We start from the raw sequence: 26481 nt of genomic DNA, 5'->3' as shown, positions 1-26481 counted from the left end.
TGAAAATAGTCTCCAGGTGGTCCTCCACTTTCTGAGCTAGGCTTTATACCTAATACCTCTGAAGATCAGGGGGAAAAAGCCAAAAGAGGGAAATAAAGAGTCTCTTTATTAAAAAAGTATCAAGTTATGCCCACTTCTGGTGAAATTTTGAATAGAGAAAATGGCCTGATTTAGATAAATCAACTGAAAAAGTGTACACAGGAGCCCATTTCTTTATCCAATCCTGGAGTTAAAGGCAGTAACATTCGTTAGTTTCCTCTAGCAAATAAGAAAAAGTGCATCTCAGAGGATTCTGAAACGGTGATATAGCTACTTAAAGGCACTGTAGCTGCAAGAATCCCAATCAGTTCAACAGATGTTTTCTGAGCTCCTACTATGTGCCCACACTGTGCCAGGTACTAGCAATACCAAGGTGAAAAACAACAACAACAAAGCCCTGTCATTGAAGAGCTCACTGTCTAATCTAGGGATGGCAAGGACATTTTCTCTCTCCTGCCAGCCCTCAGAGTATGGTATTGAGGAGGATTCTAAGGTCTAGTCTGGGTTTGGTGGGCCATCCATTAGTGATGTCTGACATGGTTGTAGAAGTTGAGAGTAGCAGCTTACATGTCATATGTTTTGACACATATGGTCTAGTCAGAATCATTTCAATTTCATTTGAAAGAGGATATAGCTTCTGTACTCTGTTATGCTCCTGTCTTCCAAATCAACAACTGTATTTTACTGGAGGTTACCTGTATCCAGAGGGTTTGTAACAAGTAGAGACCCTTTGCATTTTGTGTGATTAAGAGCAAGGCACCGTTAGGAAATGAGAGTTGGATTCCATCACTATCTCCACACTATGCAGTTAAAGATGTTTTAATAAAGTAAAATTGTCAGATGTTACAGAGAGGCAGAAAGAACAACCAGATTAGGAAAATGTACAAATTCATATGTGTCCTGGAGTTGAATGGACATTAAATGATAAGCGTTGGATGACTTGTGGTGACCATATCTTTTAACCCTGTCTACTGAGTTATCAACACTATTCTACTGGTTAACTAGAGATGCTACCTGCAGGCATCCACTGTCTGGTCCAAAGGCATGTGCCACTATGACCACAGCTGTGGTCTGTGTAGCTGCTGCGGCAGCGATGTGTGTGTCTGGCGAGGGCTAGGGTTTAATCCTTGGATTCTGCTTCTCACTCCATGAGCAGGGGCTAGGAGCGATCCCGAACTGCAGCCTCAACCCTGGGAGGGATGGAGACCTGTGTCATTCAACAGCAGTGACCCCTTCTGGCCAATTTAAGGAGAAGCATTGAGGGGCCCTGAAAGGAGTCACTTCCAGTCCTCCTCAGAGGTTGGTGGTCTTTGCACGGGGGATTAGTGAGAAGATGTGAAATGGGTGAGAGCTGGTGGCACCTCCGGGCTTCCAGCAAGGAGCAGAAGTTGGCCTTGTGGGGAGCTGAGGGCATATGGACCTCTCTCAGATGGCTCGCTGTTGTCTCTCGTGGACACACAGGATAGAGATGGGAAGGAAATGTACTCTCACTGCCAATGTTGGGGGGATTTTTAACAAAATGGGGGGGAAATGTTGCTAACAACCCCTAATCAGAGGCAGCCTAGAATGTGCATCATGCTTTATTTATTTTGTGTGAGAATAACAAATCAAGACTGCCAGAGCAGATAATCACTATCCTAGTCTAGAGGCTTAGAAGAACCAATAGAAACATGCACATAAATTTTTAAGTGGCCTTAACTGTCTATGTGCATATGAAGCCCTTAACTTGCCATTTGTCAATTATGCACGCACACAAACACATACACACACACACACACGCTCTCTCTCTCTCACACACACACACAACTAAGTATCTAGCTAGGGATATTTTATATAATTAGTAAAACATATGTGGCATCCCTTTGAAATTTAGTACATTTAAAAACACCTATGCCTAGACATCTTTTCCAGCTGCTCCTAGAACAAAGATTCACCGAACAGATTACAAGCCTGTTGGCTCCATTGGAAATGATTCAAACCACTATGTTCATAGTACTTTTCTTCAATGATTGTTGTTTTCTAATTCAATGAATGCATTTGGAGTGTTGAGAGCTTTTCTTTTAATATCATGCTTAAGTTGGCTGCTTTTTATTTTCCTCCTCCTCTTTCAAATTATGCTTCCTCATACTCTCCCATCCTCTCTCAATGACTTTGGAGTCACGATACTAATGCAGACCCACTTGGTTGGTTAACATCCTTCTCCTGCCCTGTGACGCCTTACGCATGTGTTTTCCAAGCCCTTCAAGTGTGCTGGACACAAGTCATGAAATGAGATTAACCCTCAGGTCATGCTCTGTACAACCTAGCCCTATTCTTTCCATCTCCCTTTGTTCTTGATCATAAGTGTCATCTCCTAATTGCCTATAACTCAGTGGCACTCTTTTATCCTGAACATCCCCAAACAGGTAACACTGCAGCTGCCCAGCTAACTGAATACCATTCATGCCTCTGTGGTGGCCACACTCCATCTAAAATCCTGTCATCCTTTCTGCCAGTCAGAAGGACGGTATCTACTTTGCATCTCACCTTAACAGTCTTCATGAGTCTCGTTCCATGTCACTGTCATTTCTGGTTCTTCATTGCATAATAAATAAATAAATCTTGGAAGCACAGAGATGAATATCCCCTGGCATTTTTATTGCTGGGTTTACCAAGCTCACATTTTAGGCACTTACTTACTCCATTTGGGACATTTCTTTTTAAAATCATTTTTATCTATTCACAAGAATGATTAGTCAGAAAACATAGTTTGGAAACCTATTAATTATCTCCCCTAACTCAAGAATGGTGGGGAGCAGAAATAAATAAAACAAGGTTTTCCATTGTAAAAGACTAGGGGGTAACTAAGGGATTTGTTCAATGGACACTTTCAAAATCCCACTGGTCCTTCTCCTGACAGTAGGCAGTATTCCATTCTACTGTCCCAGGAAGGCCTTCTCTGGGCAAAGCTCTAGTAAAATGAATTTCTGCCCAGTTGTCAAAATATTTTATTGAATTAGCCTTTCTACTGGAAACCCCACCCTCTCATCTCCAAAAGCATCTGGCTAGCCCTACCTTCTCTGGCCTCAGTGGAGGCTGATCACAGTTGGTCACTTTCCTGAAGTTACTGCACTTTTAAGTGGAGTATTGCTCAGAGCCTGCCCAGAAGAATCCACCTGACAGATGTCCTGTCCCATGCCAAGGTCCCTCATCAACCCCATATGGTCCCCTTTGAACAAAGAAGCTGGAGCTCTGCCCTGTGTATGCATTCTTCTTCCCCATCCCTGGCCTCTCCAGCTGTGGCCTCCCCATGCTCCCAGCTACAGTAGGTGGCTTACTTATTTGCATGGAAGGACAATTTGTACTTAAAAGAGTGATTAGATGGATTCTTCTTGCACGCTTCCATCTCTGATGACTACCAGCTTCATCAATGTAATTATAATTAGCGTTCTTCATCTTCCCTTTATGGCACCAGCTGGACAGACCGGTTCTCTTTACTGCCCAGATGGGTGGCAGGGTTGCCTGTGTGGTGATAGGTGACAGGCACCATGAAATAACAGATGGTAAATTCAAGGCTTGTTGGCAATCAGCAGGTTTTTGCTAATGACTTAATTAGCTATGCAAATTGTCAAATCAGTGTGAACATTGTTTTTATCGAAAACTTTACCTAAATTAATTACCATAATTAAGTAGCAGAATGTCAAGGATATTGGCTGCATAAAAGGGCCTGGCTGAGTAGAGAAAAGAGAGATTCTGTCTTCAATTAAAATGTATATCATCCCTGGGACAGAGAAAATACCGTTTGGAATGAGTTGTGTGAATATTGCAGAATTGCACCTTACGTGTGTCTCCGGTCACTGCTAGTTTCCAAAGCCACTCACAGGCCCTAAATAAAAGTGGCAGATTTTTGGAGGTATTGAGAAGCACCCAGCAGAAGGTTCCACAGCCCTCTCAAAAGTCCCCAATGTCGGCAAGTTGAAAGCATGGATTTTTTTAATTTTGAAAAATACATTTTTTTATTTCTGCAGATTGCTAGCATTGCTCGTTCTCCAGTGTCAGGCTGCGCACTAAGGACATAAACTCGCGTGGTTGTTACACATCAGGAGGCGATGTTTATTTCCTGTAGAAATCAAATATGCGTCTCGGCCCCCGACATTGAGACTTGACCCCGTTGTACAGTACACGAGTGTGTCTGTCCTAGATTCCCCGACTCCTCCCACTGTTATTTTAAGCTGAGCTTCTCTCTCCCAAGGTTTCCCTGTAATAATGTCAGCTGCTGTTCACAGGATGTGATGGTGGTAGGAGAGCCAACTCTGATGGGAGGTGAGTTTGGGGACGAGGACGAAAGGCTAATCACTAGATTAGAAAACACGCAATATGATGCGGCCAACGGCATGGACGACGAGGAGGACTTCAACAATTCACCCGCGCTGGGGAACAACAGCCCGTGGAACAGTAAACCTCCCGCCACTCAAGAGACCAAATCAGAAAACCCCCCACCCCAGGCTTCCCAATAAGATGATCGGCACCAGAATCCACTGTCAATAGGCCCGTGGGTGATCATTACAATTGCAAATCTTTACTTACAGGAGAGGAAACAGAAGAGATAAAAACTTTTCCATGCAAATATCTATTTCTAAACCACAATGATCTGATTTTCTTTCTTCTTTCTTTTTTTCTAATTGAGAGGATTATTCCCAGTAAGCTTCCATGACCCTTTCTTGGAGGCCTTCACAGGTAATACAGATACTGGCACTGATTGTAATTAAAATGAGAGAAAACTCTAGCGCATCTTCTGGCACGGTTTTAACAACGTGTTTGTGTTGAATTTCCTTTTTATGCATCAAACGAAGGCCATATTGTCCATAAATGCTCAGTGCTCAGGATCTCATTAATATGCCGAACCTAACTACAGATGACTTTTTAATATTGTAAAATATTTTCTGCTTTTTGACTTGCATCTGAGAGTTTCTTGTTTCAGTAAAAAAAGAAAAGACAAAAAAATCAGCTTTGGAAAGTAATTTAAATGTACCTTATTTTTTTTTTCTTTATGTTTTCTTTCATTGGGCAACAGCTAAGAGGGCCCAGCAAGGTAATTTATGGTTGAGCTGATGTCAATTGGTTCTTGTCTTGAGTCGACTCAATTTAGCCCAAGTGCTGAAACAAGAAATGTCATTTTTTTCATCAAAGACACCAGGGCAGATTTTTAAGTAAAGAAAGACAATTGGACCCTTAAGAATTTATGCATTTGTAAAGTTGCTGTTGATCCAAATATTTTCAAGCCATGTAATCCATTGGTTTTGTGGGCAGTTTAATAAACCTGAACCTTTGTGTGTTTTCTAATTGTACCTGAGTTGACCATCCTTTCTTTTTATAGTATATTTCTTGTATGATATTTTGTAAAGCTCTCACCTGGTTCTTTTATGGGGACTTTTCGTTTTTGGGCAACTCCAGTGTATTTATGTGAAACTTTATAAGAGAATTAATTTTTCCATTTGCATATTAATATGTTCCTCCACACATGTAAAGGCACAGTGGCTCCGTGTGTTAAAAAACAGCTGTATTTTATGTATGCTTTACTGATAAGTGTGCCAATAATAAACTGTGTTAATGACCAAAGCAAGTGAATCTGGCTATTTGTGTGAGTACGTGTGTAGCAATCTGCTCACAATTATCAGAAGTATTGAGCTTAGATTCATGGCCCAGACTCCAAATGAAGTGGAACCATAAAATCTGTGTGAAGTAAGTTCACTGTGCACTGGTTACCAACTTGTCTGAGTCCAGTGAGCCAGAAGACACTTACTTACTTATGTGCAACAAATTACATGGAGCAGGTTTATTACTTACTTACAGACAGGCATCAAGAAACAACAGAAGCCTAGGATTCATGGGACCTAGTCCCCAAGACTCAGAAAAGCTGCCCAGGGCAGATGGTGCAAGCCCCATTTGCACCACAGCTGAGGGAACCTGGAAAGCAGCCGGACCTGGGTTTTATACCCTGGGGTCATGTGACACGCTGGACTAAAGCACTGAAGGGCATCCTGTTTCTATGAGGGGATGGGTTGGGACCAGAGCTCAGGCTGTTTCAGCCAGGCACCCCTTATCTTAGGATGTTTCATTCCCAGCTCATGCTACAGTTATTCTTGAGAACTAAGAGCAAGAAAGAGGAGAGAATTGGGTCAGTTCGAGGCCACAGAAGCACTGTCCTACAACCTGTGCCATCTTTTATGAAGTATTGTTTCTTTCCTTGTTCACTGCAGCTTCTTGAGCAAACACAGAAATGCCTTCTCTGTGCTGAGTCCTGTGCTAGCCGAGGATACAACATGAAAAGACAGACTGGATGGTGTTCTTGGAGGTTGTAGTCAAGTAGAAAGGCAGTAGCTTCCAGTCACTGAGTGCTTGCTCTGCACTAAAGAACTCTACTTAAGGCTCATTATTTCAATTAATCCTCATGATAACTCCATAGCATAAGCATGATTATTACCATTTTAAAAATCAATGTCTCACCTGCCTATTTTTCTATACAGAGTAAGGAAAATTCACTGGAGGATCTTTTATGTTTAAAGAACATTACTCATATTTTTCACTTTGCACTAATGATAAAGAAAGATGAGAGAGGAAATCTGTTATTATTTATTGGGTGTTTGTTTATTAAGTGCCAGGCAATTTCAATTTATCATCTCACTGAATTCTGGGAAGGGGATTTGAAAAGGGGAAGCTAAAGAAAGGTTAAGTGTCTTAGGTTCGGATCTCTAGAAGCAGAGCCTAAAGCTGGGATTCAGGGACATGAGGTTTATTAAGGGTATGTTCTACAGAAAAAAAAAATTATATATATATTATATATAAGATCATATATATATATGAGAGTGGGAAAAGCAGGATAGGGAAGGAGAAAGAACTAAGGAAAGCTATGGGCCTCCACAGTCAGCTTCCTGGGCCTAATCCATGAGGTGAAGGCTTTGTAGACCTCACTGAAGAGTTATCCCCGCTTGTGCTACAGCCCAGCCTTTTGGCACCTGTATCAATATCAACCCTTCATTGATTGGGAACCATCCCCAGAATGTATGAGGGATTTGTGACCTTCACAGCAAGATGGCTTCATCAACCGAGGGGCATTCTACAGAGAAGAAACCAACTAGATGCAACAGTAACAGTATCTTGGGACCAGTGTTCTGGCTTAATAAAGGACATCTATGTGGGCACAAATTTGCTTACTCCATTAAGTAAGTTGTCCCTGGTCTCCTACATCAGGAATGCAACAGTTGGGATTTTAACCTGGATCTTCCTTGACTGTAAAGCCTGGTTTGGTTTTGTTTTGTTCCTAGAATATTACATTCCCTTCCTAGAACATTCTTACTTTTTATTTTTATTTTTCTGTTTTAATGTTTTATTTTCTTTTTTCTTTTATTATACTTTAAGTTCTATTGTGCATGTGCACAATGTGCGGGTTTGTTACACATGTATACTGTAATAGCAACAGAACTAATGAAAATATAGAGAAACAGATACTTTATTGCTTTCCCACTGTGTACTTTTAAGATAACTTCCAGTGCATCCCTCACCCTCACCTCACCATTTTAGGTTTTCTTTTATCAATTCTTTAAAGTCATTTATATATACAATCTTAGTCCGTTTTCTGTTATATCAGAATACCACAGACTGAGTGATTTATAAATAAAATCAGCTTATTTAGCTCACAGTTCTGGAGGCTGGGAAGTCCAATTGAATGGTATCAGCATTTGGTGAGGGGCTTCTTGCTGCATTGTGACATGGTGGAGGGCATCACATGGCAATAGGGCAAAAGCTTGCCAGCTCAGATCACTCTTTCTCTTCTTATAAAGCCATCAGTTTCAACATAGGGACCCTACCCTGATGACCTTATTTAACACTAATTACCTCCCAATGTCCCCACCTCAAGATGCCATCAACACATAAACTTGGGAGTTCAGTTTTCAATACATGAAATTTGGGGGACATATTCAAACTATTGCACAATCATTACAGATGATGCATAGAACAATTTATCTAACACCTATTCCAGTTATTTGTTGTTGCATAGTATAACAATCCAAAACTTATTAACTCAAGAGAACACTTGATTATTATTAGTTACCCTTCTGAGAGTTCACTGCTCTTTGCCAGGTGATTTATACCTTAGAGTGTCAGATGGCAGCTGGGGGAGAAGTCATCAGAGCCTTGACTAGGCTGGACATTGTAGATGGTGCCCTCACTATGCTAGCTATTGGGTAGGAGCTTAACCAGTGCTGTTCACTGAAGTGCATTTTGATAGCCTCTCTATGAGGTTATCATAATATAATGGTTGGGTTCTAAGAGAGGGTGTTGCAAGAGACAGCATCCCAAAACGTAGGGAATAGAAATTGCCAGTGCCTAGAACTGGCACTGAAGCACCTCTTCTGTATGCTATCCACCAAAGCAGCCACAAGCCAGCCCAGGTTCAAGGCACTAAAGGACAGACTACACTTATGATGGGTAAATGGCACGTGCATACCAGGAGGGAAGAAATTGATAGCTGTCACCTTTGGGAAAAAAACATCTACAACAACCAAGGCAATTTACAACCCAGCCTCAGCTTACCTTACAGTTTTATTTTCACTCCCTCCCCACTTAGACCTGATTAACTCACTACCCTAGATTACTATTTTCTGAATACACCAAATGTTTATGCCTCATGTGTCTTTAAATATTTATCCTCTTAAAATGCCATTCTCCACCTTCTTATGTAACCAAAGCTACTCGTCTTTAAAAACTCTGTTTGATTCTCTTGTCCTCTGAGACATCTCCCCACCTCTGGTTAGGCTTGACTGCCCCATCTGGGGTCCAAAAGCACCTGATTCTTGCTTCATTCCAGCATTTCCTTTCAAATTCTGTTGTTGCTGAATACCCCTCACTGTCCCATTAGACTTCTTTGGCTCTGAGAAGTTTAATCATTGTAATCTGTATTCTTAATATCTAACCTCTATCATACATAATGGTTGGATTGAATGAGTGAAGAAATTCCAAGTAAGAAATCATGACACCACTTTTTGCCATTGTATTAGTCCATTGTCACACTGCTATAAAGACATACTCAAGACTGAGGAATTTATGAAGGAAAGAGGTCTAATTGATTCACAGTTCCTCATGGCTGTGGAGGCCTCAGGAAATTTACAGTCATGGCGGAAGGTGAGAGAGAAACAAAGGCATGTCTTATATGGCAGCAGACAAGAGATAGTGAGTGAGCAAAGGGGAAACAGCTCCTTATAAAACCATTAGATCTTGTGAGAGCTCACTCACTATCACAAGAACAGCATGGAGGAAGCCACCGCCATGATGCAATCACTTCCCACCAAGTCCTGCCATCAACACGTGGTAATTATGGGAGCTACAGTTCAAGATGAGATTTGTGTGGCAACACAGAGCCAAAACATATCACTCTGCCCCTCCCACCCCCATACAAATTTCATGTCTTTTCACAGTTCAAAACCAATCATGCCTTCTCAACACTTCCCAAAGTGTTAACTCATTTCAGCATTAACTCAAAAGTCCATAGTCCAAAGTCTCATCTGAGACACAAGACAAGTCTTTTCCGCCTAGGAGCCTGTAAAATCAAAAGCAAGTTGGTTAATTCCAAGATTAGTGGTAATATTTATCCCTGTAAGTATATAAGGTGGCAAGAGATAGACAGAGATGAGTGTGTTTAAGTTTCTCAGAACTCAAATCAGCACAAAACAAACATTTTGCAAGGGATTGGACCAAGCCTGCCTTTTAGTATAGAAACCCCATAAGATTTGTCCGGACCAGAATAAGTGTAATGATAACCATTCGTCAAGAACATTTTATCTACCAGTCACTTGCCAGATGTTTTACCTTGGTGGTCTTAAACTGGGAACTTAAGTGTAATGCATTACTTGGATTTTGCTTTGTAATAATTTCAAAATTTCAATGGCTGATGACAAGCAACACTTTCTTTTTTTTCACTCATGGAACTAACTGTTCATCAGCTGGGGCAACTCTGCTGTGGGTCTGTCCCTCATGTTTCTTTCAGAAACAGTGGCCCTCCATGGAATGCTCCTCTCTTGGCACAGGGCAGAAGTGATAGAGACCATGTCAAATCACACACACACATGCACACACCTGCTCACACTGCCATTGGCCAAAGCAAGTCAAAAGGACAAGCCCAGAATCTGTAGGGCGGGGAAATACACTCTGCCTCTTGCAAAGTCAAATGGCAAAGGCTATAAGTAAACAATTAGGAATCCAATCTACCACTGGTGGCCTATATAATGTTGCCTAAACAGTTTCTTATTATTTGCCAGCACTTGAAAACTGATGAATTTCCTATAAAAATTGAAGTATCTTATTTTTCTTAAAAAATCGGATCAGACAACAGCCTCACACTTCTGAATTGCTGGATGGTAACAGTTGCCTGGTGTTGAGTCACAGTTGCCCTGGTTGGCTGCTCTCCAGCTTGTAACATTCAGCCTGTTTCACTCACTCTTGCTACCCGCCTGGCTGCTGTTGGCTACTGCATTCACTCTATGCATGGTCATTACTCCTTATAGCCACATTTGGAAGTAGGTATCATAAGCCCCATTTGCAGATATGAAGACTGATGCTTACGCAGGTTAAGTGACACCCTTTGTCACAGAGCTAATAAGTGGTGAAGTGAGCTTTGAACATGGGTCCTCAAGGTCAAAGCCTGTGCTCCTTTCATGAAACCGTACTGGTCTAATAAGAGTCACAGTAATGGTTATCCTCCATGGGTTAAGTTAGGAGCTTGACAAGCATGATGACACTGAATCTGCAATGTCCTGGTGGGTATCTTGGTCAGTTTGGGTTACTATAACAAAATACCATAGACTGGGTGGCTTATAAATAACGTAAATTTATTCTCACAGTTCTGGAGGTTGAGGTCTGAGATCAGGGTGCCAGTATAGTCGTGCTCTGGTGAGGGTCTTTTCCCTGCAAACTGTCAACTTCTCAGTGTATCTTCACATGGCCAAAAGGAGAGAGCAGCAGGGGTCCCTTTTATAAGGGCAGTAATCCCATTCATAAGGGCTCTACCCTCATGACCTAGTCACCTCCCAAAGGCCCCACTTTTTAATATAATCACATTGGGGATCAGGATTTTACCATATGAATTTGGGGAGGACATAAACATTCAGTCTTTAACAGTGAGGTGAAGTTATTATCCCCCATTTTGCAAATAAGACAGAACAATTAAACAGTTTTCTCAAAGTTGCAGAACTCACAAATGACAACATGCCATCTTGACTCTGAGCCACTTTATTAGACTTGCTGTCATGTCAGGTACACAGTCTGCAGGTCAGCATCCTCTGGCCTGGGAGAGGGGTCCTGACATCCACCCTGCTGCCATTCACTATGTATTTTGTGGGGTTGTCAAAGAGTACATCAGAGGTCAAGACTCTGCTTACCTGGTAATGGCACAAGCAGGGAGGCCCCTTTTTAACACCTTGAAATCTCAAGGGCATCTGACAAGGGACTTATAAATAAGTGGCCCAGTCCTGCAGGAAATCCTTTCTTTCTCTATTTCTCTTTAACCTTGGGGTGAACATTTAATGCAATAGGATAACACAACTCACATTGGTGCTATGTGGGGTGGGGTGCTGTGAGAACAAGGCCATCAAGATCAATTTCCCTAAAGCAGGATTTGCAGCAACCTTAGGAAATTCATTTTATAATGGAATATCCCCTCCATCCTCCATAAGAAAAAATTGCTAGGCTTTTTCCCTCTGATTGTACAGTAATACATGCTCATTGTACATCATTTGAACAAAGAGGAACAATAAGAAAGTAATCTCATTGCTCTAATGTGATCAATACTAATACTTTGATACATATCCTGCAAGTCTTCTTGTCTCACATACATTACAATACTGATCATATTCAGAGTAGACAATTACAGATTCTACCCCTTTCATTAAATAATATATCATGAGCTACCTCATTAAGTATTCTTTAAAAACATAATCTTAGTTTCTATATAATGGTCCACTAATGGAAGATCCTGTAATGTATTACCCCACTTATTTATGACTGGTCCATTCCCTTTTTTCATCCTATTAGAATTTATTTATCATTGATAGGCTTGTTGAAGGTTCAAAAGAGTTTGTTAAATCAAACTTCATTTATTGGGTATCTGACATATGCCTAACACCATGCGAAGCATTACTAGAGATTCCTGTACCTAGCCTCCACCTTCAAGGTGCTCTCAATTGACTTGGGATAAGGGACAGTGCATAAAATGCTAACCACATACATAAGGCTGAATAAACTCAAGGTGTCAACAAAGCACAGAAGATAAAAGCTCTAGGAGTTTAGAGGTATGGATCTCAAATGTATTGTGCACTTACCATGTAGCACTTTGCATTTAATTTATCCTTCACTGCAACCTGGGGATGCAAGTGTTTTGTATATGAAACTCAGAGAGGGTGAATAATTTGCCAAGGTAGCACAGACAGAAAATAGCAAGGTCAAGTTTGAATCAGTGCAGGACTCCAAAATCTGTTTTTTCTCTGTTAAGCCTCAGATTTCTGGGGAAAAGGCAAATGCTGTGATTGTGTATTGTCAGGAAAGACTAAGAGAGATGGTGGATGGTAACACATTAATACACATACACATAGCTGGGTGTCTGGTTGTTTCCACAAAGTTCCTCTCTGGCCACCTCCTTTTATTCATCAGAAGAGTTAAGATGGTGTCTCTGATCATTGGGAGTATTGGGAAGTTTCGGTTTTAAACAAAACCTAATGCATTTGAACTGTTGGTGTTTATATAAAGATGTTTTTTGCTTGAAGCCACTGAGCTGAAAAAGACATTGAAAAGTTTTTAAAACTATACATTGGCCAGGCACAGTGGCTCACGGCTGCAATCCCAGCACTTTGGGAGGCCAAGGCAGGTGGATCATGAGGTCAGGAGCTCGAGACCAGCCTGGCCAATATGGTGAAACCCCATCTCTACTAAAAGTACAAAAATTAGCCAGGTGTGGTGGTGCATGCCTGTAGTCCCAGCTACTCGGGAGGCTGAGGCAGAAGAATTGCTTGAATCCAGGAGGCAAAGGTTGCAGTGAGCCCAGATCGTGCCACTGCACTCTAGCCTGGGCGATAGAGGAAGACGCCATATCGGGAGAAAAAAAAAAAACAAAACTATACATTAAGGAAATTGGTGAAGCAACATCAAAAGCCCCACCAAACCCTACCTTTTTTCTCAGTTTCTATTCACTCTAAAACTTTACCATTCTAGACAAATGAAACATTTCTCACTTTCCAGTAGCCTTCAAATAATCTCCTGAAAATATCCATTCCTGGCCAGGAGCAGTGGCTCACGCCTGTAATCCCAACACTTTGGGAGGCCAAGGCAGGCAGATCACTGGAAATCAGGAATTTGAGGCCAGCCTGGCTAACATGGCGAAACTCTGTCTCTACTAAAAATACAAAAATTAGCCGGGTGTGGTGGTGTGTACGGTAATCCCAGCTACTCAGGAGGCTAAGACAGCAGAATCACTTGAACCCGGGAGGTGGAGGTTGCAGTGAGCCGAGATTGTGACACTGCACTCCAGCATGGGTGACAGATAGAGACTGTCTAAAAAAAAAAAAAAAAAAAAAAATTCCTCAGATAAGCAAACTGGTTCTCCTTTTGATGCCTTCCAGAGCTGACATGCTCTATCTTCAGCCCTGTTCTCTGATTCCAAATTTAGGTCAATCCAGTAATAAAAAGTCATTCTCTCTCTTTCAATTATTTGTTACAAGTAGTTTACTCTTTTGGGGTTTACAAACTCCTCTGTCATGTTCTAGTGAAAGCATTAATGCCGTAAAAGAGATCTTCAAAAATTCACAAATGAGCATGAAATTGTTTTAATAGCATGGGCTTCTGAGATATAGCTGAAATCCATTGTCACAAAAATGAAAACTTTCATTTTGCAGAAAAAGGAAATTTGGGAAAACGTAGGCCCTATAAGGGATCAAACAAGTTTTGTTTTCCTCACCATCTAAGATGGTGAGTAGTCTCTCGGGAACTTGCATTGGGAAAGCTTCTGAGGTAGTAACTTATTCAGAGTGAAGAAAGGTGTGAACTCAGCAGCGCCTGCCATGGCAAAGCAGCAGAGCTTGTGAGCGGGGGTTTCTTCCATTTGCCATCTCCACATTAAATCACAAGGATTCCAAAAGCAGGGGCCTATGAGATTCATTACAATTGTTTCCTCATAATCAGGTGCCCAACCAATGGAATTTTTTTCCATTCTATGCTCTAGTAATTGCTACATTTCTGTACACTGATGTCTTAATTGAACAATTTTACTGAATTTTCTTATTAATTCTAATAATTAATTTTCTCTGTAATTCTCATTCCATTCTATAGAATTTTTAAAAAATATAATTAATTCATTTGTAAATACTGAGGATCTTCTCTCTCCCTTTTCAATGGACTTATCTTTTGTTTTTATTTCTTTATTTAATCCACTGCCTAAAAGTTAAACTGTGCTAAATAGTTGACAGTGGTAACAGGCATCTTTGTATTATTCTTGGTTTTAGTAAAATTGATTCTAGTGTGTTTATTCATTTAATATGATGTTGTCAATCTTATCATATGTAAAGAAAACTATCTTCTAAAAAGTTCTGGCTGGGCATGGTGGCTCACGCCTGTAATCCCGACACTTTGGGAGGCCAGGGCTGGGCCTAGCCTGGGAGATCACTTGAGTGCAAGAGTTTGAGACCAGCCTGGGCAACATAAGGAAGGAAGACCTCCATCTCTAATTAAATAAGTAAATAAAAATAAATTAATTAAATGTTCTAATTAATGTTTTTTATTTAATCACTGACAGAAGTTAAATTTTAGCAAATGCCATTTTCCGACTAAGGAGATGATCAAGTATACTTTTGCCTGTTGTACTATTCACAAGAATTATTTTGTTGATTTATTTCCTAACTTTACTAGGTTAAACTCTACTTGATCGTGGTAAATTATTTCCATGATATACTGTTACATTTTATTTTCTATTATTTCATTTCCTTCATGCATCTGTGTTCAGAGTAGAATTTTGATGAGGATTATATTGAATCTGTAGATCAAATTGGGGAGACTTGCCACGTTAGCAATATTAACACATCATTTTTTTGCTGGTGAACATCCAAGACAGTTAACTGAGAGCATTTTCAACAGGTTCCCAAGTTGGCCTGGTACACTATCAATATACAAATTAGCACCTTTCATGTTTGTCAAAAATAACTGCAGAGAAGTAAAATGAATGAAAGCAAGAACGTATATAAAATATGCAGGAATAATTTTAATTTTAAAAGTATAAAATCCATATAAGCAAAATGATAAAAATCTACTATGATAGAGAAAAAGAACACAATTGGAAGGATCTCTCATACATAAGCAGTAGAGTCAGACCTGAGTTTATGCCTCTAATCAGCGATGTGGATTTTGGAAATTATTCCTCTTGGCCTGATTTTTTAAGTGAATATCATAAAAGAACCTATTCCATAAGGTTGTTTTGGAAATTAAATGAGATATTATTTATGTTGCACTTTTGAAACATCAAAAGTATTCAATAAACACCAAGTACTATTATGATTATGTTTCTACAAAGATGTATATTTATCTTGAATTAACATAAATATTCAATCAAAATCCCAAAATTATTTTGTTCCCAAATATCATTTGACATTTCTTTAAGAAATACAATCAAGCAGAATTGCTAAGGAGTCTTTTAAAAAATAAGAGCAATTGGTGAAGAGCAGTTTTTCTCTCTTTAAATGCATTATAAAGCATCAGTAATTCAAAAAATATTGTACTTATGACAACTGACAGATTGTTGAATCAGAATAGATAGCTTAAAAACAAACTCTAGCATGTGTAAAGATTTTGTTTATAATATAATGGCATCACAAGTCTAAAGGAAAGAATTATTTGATTAATGATATCTACACAATTAGCTAACTATGGGAGGAGGACATAATTGTAAATTCTCAGCACTCAGAAGAGAAAATAAATAAATTTCAGCTAGAACACGCAGCTAAATGTGTAAAACAGAAGTGTAAAATAAGAAGAAAATATAGTTGTATTATCTTTCTTGTCTGTGATTGTAGACTGACTTGTCAAGTATAAAAGCAATAGATTAAAATTTCATTAAAAAGATTATTTAATTTTTGATATGGTTTGGCTGTGTCCCCACCCAAATCTGATTTTGAATTTTAGTTCCCATAATCCCCACATGTCATGGGAAGGACCTTGTGGGAGGTAATTGAATCATGAAGGTGGTTACCCTCATGCTGTTCTTTCCCTCACTTCAATCAGCACTTCTCTATCTTGCTGCCATGTGAAGAAGGACGTGTTTGCTTCCCCTTCTGCCATGATTGTAACTTTCCTGAGGCCTCCCTAGCCATGCTAAACTGTGAGTCAATTAAACCTCTTTCCTTTATAAATTACCCAGTCTCGGGTATGTCTTTATTAGCAGTGTGAGAACGGACTAATACAATTTTATTTTGTAAAAATACAAAGCTTGTTTGTAACATCAAACTAAAAGAAAATTATTAACTGGGAGAATTATCACAAATCTACCAAGCAAATAGTTATCATTGTTATTAAAATAAAAAGCATTGCTTTATCGGAAAAAATTATAAGAGAAAGTAGACAAGGAACATTAGAAAATTATAGAACTGTAAATCATGAATAAATAGACAACAAATGTTCTGCCCCACTAGTAGTCAAAACAATACAGTGTCTAACAACAGTCATCTACCAATTCTTAAATGTCAGGTGCAGTCATCTACCTAGGCTCAAACTCCCAGTTTTACAGCCTGAGGAATTCTAATGCAGTCCCCACTACTTCTGCCAACCATGTACCTCCTTGTCTCATGGCTCTGTGCTGTCTTTCCACATCTGCACATGCTATCTCATGTGAACCTGGTCACTGACATGGATTGTCTTCCAACCTTGCAGTATCCATTCCCTATTCTTCTACTAGACAACAGTCTTGTTTCCTTTGGGGAGATCAGTTGTTCTGCTCTCCTGTAGCCAAAAATACAGCTTGTGATCCAGATAGACCATTCGGAATATTGGTCCCAGGGAATGTAGTTGGGGGAAAAAGAAGATAAATAACTGAGATATTAGATGATGAGGTGGTTCACAAAGAGTGCAAACAAGATAGCAGGCTAGAACCTACCTACAACTGCTGTAGGTACAGGGCCCAGGTCACAGTAGGGGAGCTTTGGCAAGCTGGGTCACCACTAGCACAAAAATACAGTTGGCACCTCAGTTCCATTGAAGTCAAACAGCACCTAATTTTAAAAGGTTTCATTAAGTGACCAGATCCAGTGTTCATGAAAGCTGATGCTTCTACCTAAGATAAACATACTGTTTCTGGCCTTCTGTGATTTTTACACTCAGATATTTTTTTAAAAAAATGTTTAGAGGGATAGCCTCTTCCTTTCTACCTATATTGTGCAACTGAACTTCATAATTTGTTGCAAGAATTCAAATTGTGGCTAAAACAATCTTTATTTTTGCTGTATGGTTCAGAGAGAAATGAATGATTGTCTATTTTGAGTATTAATCTTCGGTTGTTTCCATGGATACCTGATTCACTTAGAAAGGAAGCAATGAAAAATAAAGGACTCAGAGGCCAGAGAATCTATATTTGGTCCCTCATGGAGGAAAAACCTGAGGCTTGGGGAGGTGAAACTGTAAACTCTCTAACAATGGGCATGAATTGGTTAAACAATAAAACTCCAGCTGCTGTGTTTGGGAGAGGGAAAAGCATGTTTAATCATTTTTACAGCTGTTGTAATCACTTCTGAGTTTCTGTTCAAAGGAGGAATCCATTTTCAGATCACACCCCAGTCGAAGGGTTGCTTTCCCACTCCTCAGCTCTTATTGTGGAGGAGTGTAAAATAAACACAGTGTTAACGAGACTCAAAAGGAAGAACGGCAGAGGTAGAACCTTCACAGAGACAGAGAGGAACAGTACTATCACAAAACAGAGGGAACCCTTGCCTAGAGCAACACCTTTTCAGAAATGCTTTTCATTGAGTGTCTGTATTTAAAGTTGCATTTTTAAACAATAGTATGCAGAAATCAAGATTTTTGTCTGTAATTTCATATTATGTCTATCATCAAAGAAAAGCACATATGCTGGTGGCTAACCCGGGATAAAAGTAATAAGAGACAGACCTGTGAGACTCAGCAGAACCTGAGCAACAAATGAAGAGAAATTGGGACAAGAACAAATAAAGACAGTTCTTTTATTCATGCCTGGCCAAAGGACTTCACTGGCTCTATCTAAAAAAAAAAAAAAAAAAAAAAAAAAAGGAAAAGAAAAATTATACCAGTCCCTTTGTATTTTGTTTATATTTTGCTGTGTATCATTACACTTGTTAACCATCTTATGTTTTGGGTTGAAAATTTCCTGAAGATCAAGGCAAAGGGTGAATCATGAATTGTGATTTTTATATGTTAGAGTGAGAGGGATTCTAATCAATAAAAGGAGCCACTTTCCTGACAAAATTTTGTATCAATTTAAGTTGAATATGAGTTGAGTTACGTAAATATTCAAATATCATAGTGCTACTGACAATGCTGACGTGGAAAATATGGCTGATGTATGCAGGAAGGAAGCCTTCCTAAACTGAATTGGAGAGACTTAGCCAGCCAGTCAGAGGTGGCCCTGCAGCCCTGAAGACTTGTCAGAGAGGCCTACTTTGCCATATGACAGCAAACCAAACAGAACCCGTGCTGCCTTCATAAGAGCAATGAGTTGGGAAGAGGCTGCACTCACTTTCCCTTCTCAAGTTCATTGATCCAGTAAGTCACTCCACTGCCCAGACAGGAAGTGACATGGTTTGGCTGTGTCCCCACCCAAATTTTGAATTGTAGCTCCCATAATTCCCACTTGTCATGGAAGGGACCTGGTGGGAGGTGATTGAATCATAAGGGTTTTTCCCATGCTGTTCTCATGATAATGAATAACTCTCAAGAAATCTGATGCTTTTATAAATGAGAGTGCCCCTGCACTAGCTCTCTCTTGCCTGCTGCCTTGTAAGACATGACTTTGCTTCTCCTTCGCCTTCCACCATGATTGTGAGGCCTCCCCAGCCATGTGGAACTGTGAGTCCATTAAACCTCTTTCCTTTGTAAATTACCCAGTCTTGGGTATGTCTTTATTAGCAGCATGAGAACAGACTAATCCAGGAGGGTAGAGTGAGGTCAGAAGCACTATCTTAGTGGGTTCTATTACCCACCGCCCACCAACAGTAGGGCCCAAAAATAAAAACAAATCAGCTTCCCAGGAAAGCCAACTTTCTTTGTACTGAGACTTGAATTTCCAATACCATGATGTATTTCAAGGCAGCATACTCCTTCTGTGTCCTCTAAGGCCAAAGCCCTCATATTGACAACAACAACAAAAATGATTGTTGAGATTCATTCATTGGAGCTGAACTGTTGCTCCCTGCAGGAGAGGGAACCTGTCTCTTAATACAGGGCTCTGTTAATTACAAAGGAATCAGTAATTAATGGTGAAGTTTCAGAGCCTGTGGTATTGGGGACGAAGGGAGAACAGCAGCAGCCAGAGAGCCTGGAAAGCGTGCATATTTTGTAAAGGGAGTTCACCGATAAAAGCCTAATTCTCCAGACTTGGAATATGAGAATAAGGACTTAACTAACATTGAGTATTGAGTGCATGCTCTTTTGCAGGCTCCACTGTAATAGCTCTTGTCCTCTTCTTATAAGAGTCACCTAAGAAGCTGACCCAGGAAAGTAGCCCTTTGACAGCATCACAGCACGAGACACAGGTAACAGCATAGAGTTTAACTCTCTAGAATCCTAATGTTTTTTGCAATAGATGTCATGCAGGTTTCCAGACAAGTTTTGAGAAAAAATATGTGTTGAACCCTTTAAAAGTTTCTATTCTTTCCAGTATTCTCTTCACCTGCAGATACATTCCCAACCAAAAACAAGTAAGCATGAAAAGTGCTCCTAAGTCAAGTTATCTGTCCAGAAGATGGTGACTATACTTCAAGTCTCTCAGCAATTCATTTCAAAAATTATTTTTAGAACTCCTACTAAGTGCAAGACCTTAAGACAAAAAATAGGTCTTGCCTTCCAGAAGCACTCAATCTACTGAGAGTTTCAAAGCCATCCATAAGTCACCTCCCCACTTCCCAAGCAGAACACAGATTAAAGGCTATGATATTAAAGAACACAGAACATGTGCTATGGAAACACAGAGAGAAAGAGATAGTTCTTCTGGCTGGAGAAGAGATGAGTTTTACACTAACTCTTGATATAAGATGAGGAATTGAATAGAATTAAGTTTGTGGTTTATCTCGTCCCTTAGAGCAAAATTGTTGGCTAGTTAAGGGGAGGGTTAGTATAGAAATAGAGCTGTTACATTTCAGAGAGCATGCCACATTATTTTCTGTATTGGACTATCTAATTCTGCTCAGAACTTCCATTCACAGGGGTCAGTGAGGGGCCCAAGTTATCCATCATTTTTTTCTGACTTCTGTATGGTGACTGCCCCTGGATGCTTCATTACATGTTTCAGTCACATCTAACGTGTGGGCTGGAGATACGGTGAGAAGCCTGGATCAGTTTCCTTACACCAAGGACTGATCTCCTAAGGCCACTAAGCTACAAACTCTGAGCTGGTCAATTAGAGTAAAACTGCTCAGGGATCCAAAGTCATGCATAGATGACCTTTGGAATTGGAGGCTTCTTGCAAAGATGTCTAGGTAGCATAGAAAGCCCCCCCTTTCTGTGGCTAACTTCTATACATCGCTCAATTCTTGTTTTGCCCCACACTTCCTCTGGAAGCTTCCCTAACACCCTTACACCAAGCTAGTGACCCCTTCTCTGTGCTTCCATATTACCATGTACTTATCTCCATCACAGAACTTACATACTACCTACCATGTACTTATCTCCATCACAGAACTTACATACTACCTTGTAGTTGTGTTTTTACTACCTTCCTTTCCCAATGTTAGTGAGTATGTTCCATGATAGCAAAGACTGTTTTGTGGATAGCTGTATCCCTAGACTCCAGTAAAGTGATTGCCCCATATTAGGCATCTTAATAAACACTTGAATGAAAGAACAAACCAACTATACCATTGAGTTTCAGCTCTTTTGACACTGGAGTACACAGTAGGTCAACAGAAAAATCAAAGAAATAACTCATCATTGCTACAGAAAGAAATCTGGAATGAGATACCTTCTCTTCATTTATCATAAATTTATATTTCTGCTAAGATAGGAATTGGATGGTTGACATTGCCACCACTCAGCATGGAGCACCTCTGTTAGCTAGAGTTCACTCCAGGCCACCCAGCAGGTGGCTGGCCATCCCACAGCCACTCTTCAGGGTCAGTCACCTTTGGCTCCTATGCTGATGCACTGTCCACAGCTGGAGCTCAGGCAATAGGCCTGACTGCATCTCCATATCACTAGTCTTAGCACCTGATTCCAAAGCAAAGTGTCTAACACTGCAAGGTCTAGTGAACGTCAAGCCTGTAAAGACTCCATTGTGAGCTCTTCCTAGAAGTAGCCTCCAACAAGCTATGTAGCCACAGGGCACAAACTAAAACACAAACAGAAGTTTGAAAGTCCCAGGACATTAGGGGCTGCAGTGATTTTGTAAACCGTAAGTTCTGAAGTTGGAAAAGTTCCTTAAGTGGGCTCCAGTGGAGATGGCTGGATGGAGTGAACAGCCAAGAGAAGGGCTCCTGCAAGACTCAAGAACTAAAGTCAGATGGGAATTCATCAGTGTATCTGCACCAACTTTCTCCTGTAAACAGTTGCATACCCATTGTTTTTTCCCTAGAGAAGGGCTTGGCCTGGAATACATTGCAATCCAGGCTGAAATTTTTTAAAGAGTTTTAAAATGCCAGTAATAATTCCATATTAGATTTTCACAAGCATACTTAAAGGTTCTTCCTTATCAAACTTTAAAGACTGGCATTAGCATTTTAATTTCTGAAAGATTTATTACATGATCTTATTCTTTCCTTATCACTAAACAAACATCAACATTTAGAAATGGAAACGTATACTTTTGAGATTCACCCCCGTTTCATATGAACAACAAGAAATAACTCAACAAAGAGCCATTTTTCCTGAGCAGTTTCAAGATCCCCCCAACACCACCCGCATCTGAAAGTCATGACTTGCCTCCAAGTTACTCTGGAGAGGCTGTCAATGGGATGCCTTATTTGGGTCTAAACAAACTCAGCTTTTGGCCCAGGCAAACCCCACCCTTGATTATAAACAATGCTGGCACTCTCCGACCAGTATTTGCAGACACATGGGGGCAAGCAAAGGAAAAAGCTGCCAGTGATGGACTAAGGGTATTGTATAAGGGCATGCTTACTGGTAAGAATATCCAAGAACTCACTCCAGGCCTCTCCTCCTCCAGGAAGTCTTCCTAGACTACAGCCCACAGTGGTCTCTCCCCAGGGAACTTCAATTTTTTTATTACCCACATATCAAATGCTCATAGAAACATAGAAGTCAGAGCTGCATGGGATCTTGAGACATCCAGACCATGGTCCCCAGATCATTACCAACAAGAAACGGAACCTACAGATGTACTTTCTTTAGACTGTATAATTTTTAAGAAAATATTTAGTTATCAGTTAGAACTAGGAAAATTTCGCATTAAAAAGCAATCTAGAATTCCTGCTTTCTTGAGAAATAAGTAGTTTTTGCAATGCCAGTCATGCTGGTTATTAAACCACTGACTCTTAATGCCAAGCCCACCCTTTCTTACACCGGTCGTGAGGCAGATGCTGGAACTCTGCAAACATTTCTCTTTTGCCATCTGATTCCCTGTTGGGTTCTGCTAATAAGAAGCATTGCGGAGACAGTCTGAAATGTAGAGGAGAAAGAAAGGACACATACCTTCCTGTGTCTTTCCTCTTCATCATTGTCACCCAAGCAAAAGTTCTTGACCCTGATAGAGTAGTGATTCCCATTTGTGGTTTTTCAACATGCCCCCAAATTAGCGTGGTCACTCCCCTTCACTGAGATTCAAGCACCAGCCATCATCCCACTCACCTCCTTGGAGGTCTGGGTTTCTGAAACATGGGGCCTCTGCTCCAAGCTTTTAAGTTAGTGCTGTCCAACAGAAGTATAATGAGAGCTACAAATTAAAATCACCTATGTAATTTTAAATTTTCTAGTAGCCACTTTTCAAAAGACACAAAGAAACAGAGGAAATTAATTTCAACCATAAATGCTACTTAATTCAACTCACCCAAAATATTATTATTCCAACATGTAATTAATATTTAAAACTTTTAATGAAATATTTTACATTGCTTTTTTATACACTAGGACTTTGAAATCCAGTGTGCATTTCGCACTTATAGCAGCACTTCCCTATTCAGGCTGGCTGCTTTTCAGGTTCTCAACGGCCACGTGGGGCTGGTGGCCTCTGTATTGGAATTGGCAGCACTAGGCTCTAAGAACCACATTCTCTCTTTCTTGTTGCTCCAGCCACTAGCAGTGTAGCAGCATCCTGCAGTTACCAGCTGAGTGTTATCTTAGTGTGATCCTTAAGCCTTTCCGTCCGTTAACTTGTTTAATTATTCCTTGTAATAATTCTCCACTTTGAAATGATTGATGTATCAGTTTTCCCAATAGATCCTGATCAATACAGTTTGTACTAATAATTGTTGAATAATAATTGGCTCCTCTGATGTGTCCAGAGCTCACCCTTTAATGCCAGATCCCACAACTCCCCAGTTCTGAGGCTAGAGAGCAAATGGGTTGTTATTTGCCCCTTGGCTTCTGGTAGAATTATGAAGAAAGTGATTATCCCACTATCCTTACTTTGAAACATTGAAAAAGTTAAAAAAGAACTGATTGTGTATCAGAAATAATGTAAGTGGGCCATATTGTTTTTGCAAGAAGTCAAGATTATTCCCATAGTTTAATCTTCACCCAATCACATTGTCTCCCTGGCTCTCTATGGACACTCAGGCCACAGAGATTGCCCTGGTTCCAAACTGTTCTGGTTATGAGCTCTCAGAGGATGGGATTCTCATCCCAGGGACAAACACTAAGTCCTTGTGACTCAGACCTCACTGGTAAAACAGAGCTGTTGTTGGCCATGTCCTAGGCAAGGCTGAGAATAGGTAATGGTAACCATGATTGTGATTTAGACTTTACAAAATACCTTTGTGTACATAATTTCATTAGCTGGATATATTCATGGTGCATTCCCGTGTGCAACCTGAAATGTAGACAACCTTGCTGCCCACTTCATACCCCAGTCTGCCACACTCCCTGCCTTTGCAAAACAAACTGCCCTGAGCAGTGGTTTGGAGTAAGGACTCTGAGAACACAATAGCTGGGCTGTAATTCAAATCTACCATCTCTAGCTGTGGGGCAAGATCCTTAACTTCCTCTCTCTGCCTCCATATCCATATTCAAAAAATGGGACAATAAAGGCATTGACCTTATTGGGTTGTGTGATGATTAAGTGTGTTAATGCATGATCATATGTGTTAATTTACTGTGTGCTTAGTATACAGTAAATTCTCGATAAACATTCAGTGATATCATTGTCATCATCATCATCATCACCACCACCACTTTCTGGCCTGATTATGCCAGCAGAAGAGGATAGAGATTAAGAGCTTAAATTTGAATTTTAAATTCAAAGTAATGTTCAAATCTTGGCTCCTCCACTTCCCAGCTGTATTACCTTAGGCAAATTACTTAACCTCTCTAAATATCAGTTTCCTCATCTATAAAATCACAATATATGCATCAAAGAAGATTTTTGGAGGATAAAATGAGGTACTACATGAGTGTAATATTAGGTACAGGAGAAAGGCTAAAAAGAATGTGTGTTGTTGTTATCAACATAATCACCACCATCATCATAATCACCATCATCTTTCCTCATGGTAAAATACAAGTATGGGAAAATGTTTCATCTGTTTAGTTTCACTGCATTTGAGGTCTGGGAAACCTACGCAAATTAGTATGATATTCCCACTAAACCATGAACCATTGCCCAAATTACTCCACAGTCTTCATAAGTAAATTAAGATATTTGGACTAAAATTCTAAAGCTCTTTCTAGCTTTAAAATGTTTTATTCTCTAAGCCTTTAAACATTCCCATGAATTAGTTTATTAGGTAAGTTTCAGATATACAAAGAGCCTCTAATGGGACACAATACAGGAAGAATAAGTTTGGGTGATAGGAAAAAGGAAGAAGGAATGATCAAAATATGAATGGATGCATGGAAGAATAGAGATAGATAGATAGATAGATAGATAGATAGATAGATAGATAGATAGATAGACAGACAGACAGATACATACATACATACATACATAGATGATATAGATAGACAGATAGATAGATAGATAGATAGATAGATAGATAGATAGATAGATAGATAGATACATAAATACATGGATAGATACATAGCTAAATGGCTAAACCTAGCAGGTTCAAGTTTCATCTGGAAGAACAGAATCCTGGGAGGAAGGTTCCGTAATGGGAAAAACAGAAATTACAAATTTACTGGGCACCTTACTCCACAGGTCAATTAGAACTTGCTATTTTATGTAATTATTTTTCCTATCTTACAGTTGAATCCAGAGATTAAGTACCCAAAGCCACAGCACTTGTAAGCAGCAGAACCTGGAAATGAACCAAGAAATATTGAACTTCAAAGCTCAAGTTCTATTTCTAAACAGCTGAGTCTGCCAGTTCAACATGAACCTGGCTGGAAAGGCAGCCACAAACCTGAATCCTTAATTAGAAAAGCAAAAATGAAATAAGAAATGGTGCTCAGTTAATTTCATAGGAAGCTCTCTCCCCTTCCAAGTGTGGGTGAAATGAACTGAAATGAAACTGTCATCTTGAAAATAAAATCTCTGCCTTGCAGCCAGCTGAGTCTATGTGCAATATACTTGTGATTGGCCCTTTGGAAATTTAAGCTGGGTCAGGCAGTGCTGACCTCCTTACCCAATTTTAAATCCAGGCAATATTTAAAACATTTCACTCTCAAGAAACAATCTTCCTCATAAAGCAATTAAAGAAACTGAACAAGAACTAGGACCCCTTCTCTAGGAATAAAAGATAAAATTGCTTGTCCTACATTTTCACTACTTGTTTACTCAAGGTTTTTCCCACAACAAACAGAGTTCACACTACAGAGAATTCTCTAGCATCCAAGTTAATCAACTTCTTTGCTCCACAGAAACCTTCTCTGCTCAAGCTAATCCTCTCATCAGCTAGACAAATAATATCTTAGACCTTTCTAAAAGTGGTCCAATTGGCTTTATTGTTATAAGCTTGTTACTTTCATTACCACCATTGTACATTTTGATACTCAGACCTCAGCAACAGCCCACTCGGCTAAGGTAAGGCCTAAAGTCAGAAAACCTTGGGGAAGGAAAGTTTCTGTGAAAGTTCGAATGGC

At 39.9% G+C, this 26481-nt stretch overlaps 1 protein-coding gene and 2 long non-coding RNA genes across 25 annotated transcripts in view; 2 read left to right on the top strand and 1 right to left on the bottom strand.

Moving 5' to 3' along the window:
* Positions 1-5637, top strand: part of LDB2 (LIM domain binding 2) — a 397105-nt gene extending 391468 nt beyond the window's left edge. For 12 of the 22 annotated variants that reach the window (XM_017008813.3, XM_005248197.5, NM_001304434.2 and 9 more), the window contains one exon: positions 4305-5637. In XM_017008813.3, coding sequence (XP_016864302.1) covers positions 4305-4535 — 231 coding nt within the window. In that variant the 3' untranslated portion in view covers positions 4536-5637. Of the gene's footprint in view, positions 1-1195; positions 1339-4046 lie in introns of all 22 variants that reach the window. The other 10 variants (XM_017008821.3, XM_017008819.3, XM_017008820.3 and 7 more) reach the window with 3 other exon arrangements.
* The window catches only part of LOC105374505 (uncharacterized), a 190382-nt gene that overhangs the window by 44069 nt on the left and 119832 nt on the right, over positions 1-26481 (bottom strand). The gene's annotated exons all lie outside the window — the stretch shown is intronic.
* On the top strand, positions 19189-25947 carry LOC124900675 (uncharacterized). Its single transcript, XR_007058071.1, has 2 exons — positions 19189-19826; positions 25646-25947. It is a non-coding gene; the product is annotated as an uncharacterized LOC124900675 (long non-coding RNA).

Source organism: Homo sapiens, chromosome 4 (genome assembly GCF_000001405.40).
Source record: "Homo sapiens chromosome 4, GRCh38.p14 Primary Assembly".
Classification (NCBI taxonomy): Eukaryota; Metazoa; Chordata; class Mammalia; order Primates; family Hominidae; genus Homo; species Homo sapiens.
Note: the sequence above shows the minus strand (reverse complement) of the source record. Positions and strands in the feature narration are given on the sequence as shown.